The sequence below is a fragment of the Homo sapiens genome, chromosome 11, assembly GCF_000001405.40.
Source record: "Homo sapiens chromosome 11, GRCh38.p14 Primary Assembly".
NCBI lineage: Eukaryota > Metazoa > Chordata > Mammalia > Primates > Hominidae > Homo > Homo sapiens.
Genome location: NC_000011.10, coordinates 117,498,336 through 117,509,594, shown reverse-complemented (window position 1 = coordinate 117,509,594; position 11,259 = coordinate 117,498,336). Strand labels below are relative to the sequence as shown.

Here is an 11,259-nt window from a genome sequence, read left to right as displayed (position 1 = left end):
TTCCCCCTCCAGGCTGCCCGGTGTGTGTATTGACCGGATGTGAGTGGCTAGCCTGGAGTACCAGCCATGCATCGCACCTGCCCATCCCCCAGAAGCAGGGTTGGAGAGGAGCGAGGAGCCTGCCTTGGGCCTCTGGGAGGTCATCTGGTCATCTGCCTCCCAACAGCCCTCTGGGAGCGCGGGACCAGCCCAGCTGCATGTTTAACTCCCCAGGATGGATGTTGGCTACTTCTTCTTCAGTGGCCTCTCGGAGCTGTTGATGTTATTCAGAAGACCAGAAGGAATGACAGCCCCTTGGCTCAGCCTCCTCCGTCTCCTTCACCCCATGTATTGTTTGAAAGCATGTGTGTCCTTTAACTCTCAGCTCAAATTCCACTCCTCCATGAAGCTGCAGTCACCCCCAGCCGATGGCATCGCCCTCTGCTTGAGCTCAGCATCTGTATATCCAGGCGGTCCTTGTCTAATCATCTTTGGGGAAGTATCTTGCCTTCCCTAGTAAACGAGAAGCTCCCCGAGGCTCCGTCTGTAGCTGAAGTGTGTTTCTACTTTCCCCAGCCCACACGGAGCATAATGCCTTCACAGAGGAGCATTTCATAAATATTAGATGAATTAGTTAATTAATGAATTAACCTGCCTTAGTAACTTGCTCCATTATCTAAATTCCTCCTTACTGAGAGAGACAGTCTTCTTGCCTGAACTAAACCTTCCTGCCTGATTTCACTATGTCTCTATCCACTGGCTCTGGCCTCAATGGAAACATGGTGTTCTGGCCGTCTGTGCCCGGGCTTGGCCCTCCAGACTCCACAGCCCCTTAGCTTTCTCTCGGCTCTGCAGAACCTTCTACCTCCTTGCTTTGCCCATACATCCTGTTCTCCAGCTCCTCATCACTGCCTCCACCCTCCCCTTGCTCGTGTTCAAGCGTACACAGGGCTCTCAAATCACAGCAGCTTGTTCGGTGCTGTGACAGCAAGGGCTTGGCCCCTAGGAGGGACCAAGGGACCAAGGTTCCAGAACCCCAAAGCATCTCGAGGAGCAGCACAGACCCCCCCTCTTATTCTAGCTGAGCCCCCATCCTGTGCTTGCCGTACCCCCTGCCCTCTCGCAGGTGAACTTCTGAGGTCACCCTAGGAAATGATATTGAGACGTATGTTTGTGCATTTCCTCACCCGACAAGCACTCATCGGGCACCTACAGTTTGCTGGGTGAATAAGTCCTAGTTATATAAGGACTTATATAGGGAGTTACCCCAGGGAGGGGGTAATGCAGTTACCCCGACAGCCATGTGATACGTGCCCTAATCCAGGTGTGGACCGAAGGCTTCAGGGCTGTGTGGAAGGAAGGTGGGCTTCACAGAAGAGGTAGCATTTGAGCAGGATCTGAAAGGATATAGGGGAGTTTCCCAGGGGAGTTTTCCAGGAGGCCTTTGTGAGCAGGAGAAGGACTTGGCCAGAACTGGTTCTTCTAGGCCTAAGGAAACAAACTGGGCGGCACATCTGGGTCTCTGCTACAATCCATCAGAAAGCCCAAGGGAGCTGGGAGGCCTAGATCTGACCTAGGGATACACACCAACTAGGAGGGGGGTCAGCAGGGGCCCAACAAGAGAGATCTCGGGGAGGTCTCAGGAATGGGCATTGAGCCATTGCTAGAGTCAGGGCTCCAGAGAAATCTATCTGAAGATGTCTAAGGCCCGATAAACCACTCAGAATACTGGGGGCAGAGTCCCAACCCAGGAAAAGAGGCCGCCAGAGACTGGGATGAGGTGGTCCAGGCCATGACCAGAACCCCGGAAAAGCTGGCTGGGATTTAGGTTCCAGGTGGATCTGGAATAAGGTGGATCAAAGCCAGCTGGTAGGTGAGGAGCCCATGTGCTTGGGGATGAGAAGGACAGATGCCCAGTGGTGTTCACTCGGGCAGGCTGAGGTGTGGGGCTGTGGCATTCACGGCATGCTGGTGGGAGCACAGGCTGGAGTGAGCGCGAGGTGGAAGATGACATTGGAAGGGTCACCTGAGGGCCCTACTGACGGTCACAGAGGCCACATCCCTCCTAAATATCACTTCCTCTGGACCTAGAGCTCCTGATCAAGAACTCTCCCAGGATCCAAAGGGCTGCCTGGGTTTTTCTGTGTCCACACCTGGCTGCTCCCTGCAGGCAGCTCCCTTTTGAGCCCTGAAAGTGCAGGGGTGCCCTGAGGGCGGAGGGCCATGCATCTGATGCCATCCGTCTTTGCCCCCAGAGCCCATCCCCCACTGTGGCCACTCTGGATGGGCCCAGGGTAGAGAGTAGCAGGCTTCCAGGGAGGGGTGCGGCTGGTGCCTGGGAGAAGGCTAGAGGACTGTGCATGGCCTTGTAATTTAATTATTCGACTGCAGAAAGGAGATCTCATCTATTGGGTGCTCATCCTTGTTAAGCTAATTGTCTATCTCCTTCTCTCTTCTGCCCCACTTGCTGGGGAAGTCGCTGCAGCCTAATTGAGTTATCATAAAGATAATGGCTGATGCTCTAGCCAGAGCCGAGAAAGGAGGATCCATCTCACATCGACTCAGGCTCCAGACAGGCCATCCAGGGGCTGAGACATAGGCAGTGTTGGCAGGGGGGTGCAGGCTGCATTTCTAGCGGGAGGAAGGCTGGGTGGATGGTGCTTTGCCCAGAGGCATCTAACCAACTGGTTGTCCTGCAGAAGACAGGGCTTCCTCTCTGCTCTTTCCTGCCACCCAAGGAAGCTCACCTACAAGACAAAAAGATCTCTGGACCTGGTGTGGTGGCTCTTGCCTGTCAACCCAGAACTTTCCGATGTTGAGGTGGGAGGATCACTTGAGACCAGAAGTTTGAGGCCAGCCTGGCCAACATAATGACACCTGTCTCTTAAAAAAAATTAAAAATTAGCCAGGCACAGTGGTGTATACCTGCATTCCCAGCTACTTGGGAGGCTGAGATGGGAGGATCACTCGAGCCCAGGCTGCAGTCAGCCATGTTCACGCCACTGTACTCCCGCCTGGGTGACAGAGCAAAACCTTGTCTCAAAAAAAAAAAAAAAAAAAAAAAAAAAGTTATCTCTTGTCTCTTGTCTGGGCATGTCTGGGGCTTTCTTGGAGAGGCAACCAAGCCACACGGTGATGACACTTGGACTTGAGGAGCAGACCATGGGTTTCAAATCCCATGGTCATATCTTATGAACTGGGCAACCTAGGGCAATTTCTTTTCTGCTCTGAACCTGAGTTTTCTCATCTGTAAAATGGGGACATTATTGGTAGGAGGATCTGGTGAGATCATGTGTATAAAGCAACTGAACAGTGATGTGAGCTTCCACTCGCCTGTCCTGACACTCAATGACAATAAAGAGGGGTGAGGTGGCTGAGGGCCCTGTGGGAGACCCAGAGTTCAGTGCTCTGGTTTCAGATGAGCAGCCGTAGGACATGCATGGGGGACAGTCCCAGCACCACGCTTCCCCTCTTGCCACCGGGCACCTCACCTCTATCCCAGGCCCCCAGAGAGCTGTGAGCTGCATCACTGGGATGAGAAGGTGGGTACAGGGGTGCCGAGGAGCAGCAGGGAAGCTGGAGGGAAAGGTGAGCAGAGATCAGCAGGCATGAATCAAATTCCAGGACACATCAAAAGGTCAGAGTTAATCCAGGCCAGTCAAGGCCCTGAACAGAGACAGTGGGTCCCAGCCTGGGCGGGCAGAGGGACAGGAGCCAGGCATCATTAGGAGACCCTGCATGCATAGGAGAACAAGGCTGCAGTGCCCCAGGGGATCTTTGTTCAAGGCCCAACCCAGAGCCCCAGGTAAGGCAGGTGAGGCGGCGTTGGCGGCCAGGTGAGAATGCACAGGGTCCTGACGGCAGCACCCGCTTGCCTTCCCAGTGCCCCCTCTGATCCAGCCCTTCGAATTCCCACCCGCCTCCATCGGCCAGCTGCTCTACATTCCCTGTGTGGTGTCCTCGGGGGACATGCCCATCCGTATCACCTGGAGGAAGGACGGACAGGTGATCATCTCAGGCTCGGGCGTGACCATCGAGAGCAAGGAATTCATGAGCTCCCTGCAGATCTCTAGCGTCTCCCTCAAGCACAACGGCAACTATACATGCATCGCCAGCAACGCAGCCGCCACCGTGAGCCGGGAGCGCCAGCTCATCGTGCGTGGTGAGCAGGGACAGGCCAGCCTCAGGGGAGGGAGGAGCCCATTCTGCCTGCTGCTACTGCAGTCTCTAGATTTCCAGTTCCAATCACGGGCTCATGGAAGGTGGGCTCCAGCATCTTGAAGGGCCTGTTGGAGCCTAAACCTCTTATTTTCCAGGGCAGGAAACCGAAGCCCTGAGCAGAGAGACACTTGCTCAGTTAGTCAGTGGCAAAGGCAGGACTGGAACTCAGAGCTCCCAAGTCCCTACCCAGTACTCAACAAAAGTTCTCAGCATCTTGGGTTTCAGAAACTGCCCGCTTCCAACTTTATAATGGCCCGGGCAGGGCTGACCTCAAACAGAAGGTGCTCGAAGCCCTAGGAGACCCATCAGAGACTAAAATGGTCTGTTTCCCTACCTTCCCTCTTTCTGCAGTGCCCCCTCGATTTGTGGTGCAACCCAACAACCAGGATGGCATCTACGGCAAAGCTGGTGTGCTCAACTGCTCGGTGGACGGCTACCCCCCACCCAAGGTCATGTGGAAGCATGCCAAGGGTAAGCCCCTGGCCCAGCCAGAATCTCCAAGAAGGGCAGGGACGGGGAACGGAGGATGCTCTGTGGGATTTGAACCTGTTCCATGCAGGCAACTCCTATCCCTGGATGGGAGTCCTCTGGTCTGCACCCCAGTGGACCCCAGGCTACACCTCACCTGGAGTCATCCTCAGCCACCCCCGGGGGTCTGTGGACCAGGAACAGCCATCATGCTGACTCCGTATTTCCTCTTGTCCCCCCAGACGCGACCTCTCCTCTCCCATCTCCGCCCCAGAACTCAGTGTATGCCTGCTTTCCCTACCGCACCCTCCCCTGGGGCCCCAGAGCCTCAAAGCCCCCTGCTTCTCACCAGTCAACCTTTTCTGGGGTCAGGGTCCTTCTTGGAGCCCAATTTCATCCCAGGGATGCCTTTGCTTTCTGACTGAGGCCCAATCCTAGACTGTATTCGTGACTGACACTGGGGAATGGAGGGACAGGGGGTGCCCACAAGGCCCCCTTGGAGGATGCTGGCCTCTCTCCCAGGCCTGGTTGCCTGAGACCAGACAACTGCCATTTGAAGGCTCAATCTTCTCTCCACCTGCAGCCAACTGGCCAAACACAGCTCTTTCTTCCTCTCCAAGGAATTTACCCCAAAGAAGCTCCATGCCAGTGTCAAAGTGGGCATTGAGCTGAGACTCCCAACCCCATCTCCTTGCATCAGAGCTGGGGCAAGGCCAGTCCTCTGGTGGGGGGGTCTTTCCTGTTGCCCACCAGGAGCCATGTGGCCTCAGCACTTTGGGGATGGTGCAGCTCTGCTACAAAATGGCCCTAGATCTGCAAGAGCGAGGTGTCAGGGCCACTCCTGGGGCACTCTCAGCTTATGCCCCAGTGCAGACTCAGCCCTCCTAACAGCTGCCTCCTTCCAGGGAGCGGGAACCCCCAGCAGTACCACCCTGTGCCCCTCACTGGCCGCATCCAGATCCTGCCCAACAGCTCGCTGCTGATCCGCCACGTCCTAGAAGAGGACATCGGCTACTACCTCTGCCAGGCCAGCAACGGCGTAGGCACCGACATCAGCAAGTCCATGTTCCTCACAGTCAAGAGTGAGTCCTGTCCCCACACGCCCCCTAGCACCCCCAAATCACAGCCAAGCCCCGGCTCTGCACTCTCCCTGCCTACTCTCTTAGTCTCCGTCGTTTCATCTATGAAGGGGAGGCAGGAAGGCTTCCTAGTGAGAGGTGGCCTTGGGACCCTTGGATGGGGCATTCAAAAGCACTGTCATCTAAAACAGCGGCCTCACCCTGAGAGGCCCCAACTCACCCCACCCTGGTCACAATAAGCTCATGATTTGCTCTGCTGCAATATCACGTAGCATCCTGTTTACTTTGGTCTGTAGATTGGCGATTCGATCTGAATAATCCTATCAAACCATTTATTTTTGCTACTTAATATACACTTGCTTGTGTACAACCTGCTTGTGGCTTAGAAAGGAAAATAGCATATACACAATGTAGAAGAAGGGGCTATAGGTCAGAAAACCTGGGTTCCAATTCCAGATCAGCCTGATGAGCTGAGTGACCTTGGGCGAGTCACTCCCCCTCCCTGTGCTCCAGTTTCCTCACCTGTACGAGGGTTCCCTTCCCAGCCCACTGATCTCACAAAATTGTTGTGAGTCCTGCAGGAACTGATCTTGGAAAGAGGAGGATGCTTCAGAAAAGCCCAAGGACCAATGCAGCTCATTACAACTCGGTGCTGCCCCCACGGCTTCTAAATCCCCCTGCCCAGAGCCAGCCTCAACGGCCCTAGAAGCACACTGCCTATTTGCTATCCCAGGATTTTCTTAAGTCTCATACAGATATCCCTACTGGGTGAGCCTCTCCCTTTACGCTGCAGGTGTCTGTATAATGGATTCCTGGGAATCACATCAGAAGGGCCACGTCCATCTGGCCCCATGTCAAGACATGGCTATAAGGGCCTGAGTGTTAGCGTCTGACCCGGCCAAGTATGAATCTGGGAGCCAGGACTTACTGTCGTGGGACCTTGATGAGCATACTTGGCCTCGTGCTACTTCATTTTCCTGATCTACACTATGAGCGGGGGGTTGGGCTCGTAATAGGGCCTTACCCGTTACATTTCATGTCAAGAGCGAGTCAGATGGTGTAAGTGAAGCAACCGGTATGGTAAGTGGCCAGCAAAGATTTCATGACCTGGCCAGCTTTGTTATGTGTAGTGGCAGTCCCTCCAGGGTGCAGGTGGGAAAGCCTGCTGATAGCATAGCCCCGTGTGTGGTCTGCCCAGCCTCTCCCCAGAGTTCCCACCTTTAAGAATCATAGCTTCTTTATCACTTGCCAAAGCCCGCGTTCAGCTCAGCATAAGACAGGGAAGCCCCAGCGATCGATGCTCAGGGAGCTCCGAGCCGGAATCCCCGCCCTGGGGAGCCACTTCCCTCACACTATCAAAAAGCACTTTGTCCTTAATAAAACCAGGCAATCAATCTACATCCCTCAGCTTGGGAGAGCTTGGCTAATTCTGGCTGCGCGAGGCGGGGGAAGAGCAGGCACCTCTGCAACCCTCCTCATCTCCCAAACTCGTAGATGCTTTTTCGCTGTTGTTGTTCTTTGCCTTTTCCTTTAAGTTGGGGGATTCCGCTGAGCTGCCGGCTCTGTGGCAAGTAGTTGTTCCATGGAGATGCAGGGGTCGCGGGTGCCGGAGGACACAGCGGTCAGGAGCTGGGCTGTGTGTGAGGGGACCCCACGTGCCTCAGGCTGTCACTGATGCCCTGGGCCCTGGAGCAAACCACTTCCCCTGGCGGGCCTGTACTTTTCCTATGCCATCCTCACTTGGCAACCCAGCAGCAACTGCAAAGTGCTCTGAGGGGTTCAGAAGGAGCATATTTGGTAAATCCAGGGCCACCTCCTGAACACATGCTGCACAAAACCTCACGCACCACACACACGCTGGGGCTCACCTATGGGGCCCCATCTTCCCAAGGGAATGGCAGGAGTTTCCCACTATGCCAGTCACTGCTGGGCAGAACCTGGACCTGGCTTCCTCCTTCCTTTCCTCCCCCATGTCCTCATCTGCAGGCCTCGGTGTCTTACTTCAGTTCTCTCCTGGTAGGGCTAGCGACACACCTTTCTTACACAGCTGCTGTCTCTCCACACCTCGGGGTCACGTCATCCCGCTCAGGGCACCTCTGATCACCCTCAGAACCTCTCAACACCCACTCATGGCTCCTGCGTGGCTCTCAGATGGGCTGCTCTCCAGCCTTGCCACACACACACTCCCTCTCACACATCCTCCGTTTCTCACACCCCTCCTGTCACAAATGTCCCCTCCCATTCCGGCCCCACTCTCCCCAGTGACCTGCCCCAGCCATCCCAGAGGCCCTCATGCCACCCAGAATCCAGCAGGAGGGGAAGAGGCAGGGCCAAGGACATCGAAGGCTCCAGGGCAGCAGTCATGGAGGCTGGCAGGGGCAGGGCCTCTGTCTGGGGTTGGAGGAGCTGACTGTCTTTGTGTAGCAGCCTGCGTGAATCTGCACTGTATCTGGCTGCCAGAGGACACTGCTGTGACAAGGCAACACTGTCGGGGGGCGGGGTGGAAGTGGGCACTGGGTGGACTGCTGGTGCACCTGGCCTTCTTTGGAATATTTGTTCTGCCTCCTGCTGCTTCGAGGCAGGTGCCTGTTCCAAGTAACCCCCCGCCCCAGCTACTGCCCTGCACAGCCTCTCTCCTTGCCTGCTCTTTTCTTTCCCTCCTTTGCTTTTCCTCAACCTGATAGCAATTCTCCCACTCCCCCATTCTGATTTCAGTTTAAAGGGCACAGGTAGGTAGAACCTTCGGGACCTGGTTACCCATGCCCTCAGCAGGAGAAACCATTCCTCGTCATCCCTCAGTCCATCTCAAACGCCCACATCATCGCCCACTTGCAGAGCCAGCCACAGAAAGATCTACCATTTGCAAAGCCAATTCAAGGTTTGCCTCAATGCCCCTAATACACTCGGGAAAGTTTTGACCCAAAATAACTTTACCTTTCCAGAACTCACACTTTCATGAACTCTCAGAAAGCAAACTGATCTTAATCCCCACTTTGCCCAAGCAGAAGAAAGAAAATAAATCTATCAAAGGGAATATAATAGCAGAGAAAGCCTCCAAGTGTCAGATTGGACGTTTGTGGTTGGCTTCTAATGGGGAGTGTCTATACCATTGATCCCTGCAGCTTCCAGTGATAACTCAGCACTCACTTAATGGTGCTCCCTGAGCACTCACTAAATAGGTCAATAAAGTGTGGTGATTAAAAGCACAGACTTTAGAGCCAGGCAGCCCTGGGTTCAAAGCCCAGCTCTGCCACTGGATAGCTGTGAGGTCCAGGACAACAATCTCTGTCACCCCAATGTCCTCCCCGGTAAGTTTGGAATTACTGTGTAGTACTTTGTGCGTTGGTAAGGTCTAAAGGAGACCATGCACTTACAGCAATTAATACAGTATTTGGCACAAAATACACATTCGATAACTAGCAGTCATTAGTTTTAGGTGCTAGAAACCTGGTGATGAGTCAGACAGAGCTGCCGTTCTCAGGGAATTTAGAATCTTGAAGAGGAAATAGACAGACACCCAAAACAACTATGATACACAAAATGATAAATGCCTTAAAAAGCTACAAACAAGGTGATACAGAAAGAATCTGAGATAGAGTCATCAATTTTAACTCTGGGGGTGAAGAAGCACGTGTCAAGAAAAGCTTCACAAAAGCAATAGTCTCTAATTAGGGCTTGAAGGATGAGAAGTATTTGGACAAGGGCCAGCAGGGATGAAGTTCACGCCCTTCCAGGGATGCAGAAACAGCACAGTGTGGAGACAGGAAGGCCTGTGACTGTCCTATGTTGAGGAAACTCAGGGTGTCTGGCAGAGAGTGACAGGGAGAATGAAATGTGAGATGCTATGGCCTTTGGAAGCTAAATGTTTTCTTTCTATGTAGAGTTGACTCTTGACACTAAGCTTCAAACAAGAGTTCCAGGAGTCCGAGGGTCTGGATGGGAGTCGGAATTCCCAAGCTAGTTCTTGGAGAACTGCTATGCGGAACCCTTTTCAGGACCACAGGGAGCTAAGGGCTTATTAGAGCAGGCAAGTGGTTTTCCAAGTCCTTGGACATCTTTGATGGCAACCAACCAGGCCCAAGTGGTCCCCACTCCTCCCTGAGTCTTGGTGTGGGTTGAACTCACGAGTGCCTAAGCACACAGTCCAGCATCGCCGCCTGCATGTACAGCATTTTACAGTTTACAAAGCCGTTCCCATACCTTGCTTGTGAGGTTGGTAGGCAATAGCTCCCTCTCAGAACGTCAGAGATTAGATCAAGGTCATTGGTTTAAGTATAGTCCCAGCTGAGGCCAGAACCTGCTTCTACGGACTGATGGTTTGGTAGAAGGATCACAGAGTAAAAAGGCTGGGTGCTAGTCCTGGCTCAGACCCAGTGGCTCTGCATCCGTGAGTTGTCCCTTCCTTTCTCTGGGCCTGTTTCCTCATCCATACAGTGAGAGGCCTGAACTAAGATCTAGTCACTAGATGACCCCAGTTCCCTTCCAGCTCAGACTAGCTGTGACTGTAGCAGCACGGGTAGTCTTTTCAAGACACCAGACCACCTCCCAGAACTTGGTTGAAAATAAATTTAGTTAACAGAAGAAAATACCACGTCCACAGAGCTGCCTTTTATTTCCCTTTTAAAATGTATTTTTAAAAAAAGGAAGGGAGATAATGACCAAAAGGAGGAGGAGGTCATTCCCCCTTCAACTGACACATGGGGAAAAAATAAAGCATCTTCAAAGAGAATTCTTCAACGAGAGGCAGGTACAAAGCCAAGCTGCCTAGTCCCAGGCATAAGAAGGCTGGCTGTGTTTTGAGGCAGCCATCGAATGGCAGTGCCCTCCTGGGACTCGGCCATCCTCTTATCCAGCAGGTGACCTTATTAGACAGGTCTCGTTGGACCTCCCAGACTCTCTTCCACTCTGCGAAGGCACCAGTGATTGGGTTCTAGACAAAGCCCATGGCCAATTAAACCCATAAGGGCTCTTTGTTTGGTCTGAGTTTTGATTTATTTGTTTAGCAAAATGTCAGACCAATTAAAATAAGGTCCCAGTGCCCTCAGCGAGCACACACCCAGCTGCGCAGCCACAACATCAGGAGCGGGGAGCTTGGGGCCAAACTCTCGTGGGGACTTGAGAAATGGAGGGGGCGGGCCTAGCAAAGGAAGCCCTCGGGCCTCCGTGGACCAGGTCACCCACCATGATTGGCCACTGGGACTGAGGTCAGGATGCAAAACTTTGGAAAAGTGCGTCTGGAGATCCAAGATGGTCCTCATTTCAAATTTGCCCAAAGGAAACTCCTTCTTGTCAAACAGAAGCAGCACCTCCCTGAGACCTGGGGGACTGGGGCCCCCACCCCTTCCACAGGGCAAGGAGTCTATGAGCCTGAGAAAATGGCTGCTCAGAGCCCACAAATCCCTTTCTAGACCACAGTCCAGGTACCCAGGGAATTCCCTGCTTCCAGGACCTCCCGAGGGCTCCTCCACAGACTGTCCTCCCACGGATGGGCCCTGCCACCGCCGTGACCCCT

The 11,259-nt window shown here is 53.7% G+C and overlaps 1 protein-coding gene across 5 annotated transcripts in view; it reads left to right on the top strand.

Moving 5' to 3' along the window:
* DSCAML1 (DS cell adhesion molecule like 1) overlaps window positions 1-11,259 on the top strand; it is a 389,743-nt gene that overhangs the window by 307,920 nt on the left and 70,564 nt on the right. For all 5 annotated transcript variants that reach the window (XM_011542918.2, NM_020693.4, XM_011542917.3 and 2 more), the window contains 3 exons: window positions 3,863-4,141; window positions 4,552-4,671; window positions 5,574-5,750. In XM_011542918.2, the coding sequence (XP_011541220.1) occupies window positions 3,863-4,141; window positions 4,552-4,671; window positions 5,574-5,750 (576 nt within the window). The remainder of the gene's footprint in view (window positions 1-3,862; window positions 4,142-4,551; window positions 4,672-5,573; window positions 5,751-11,259) is intronic.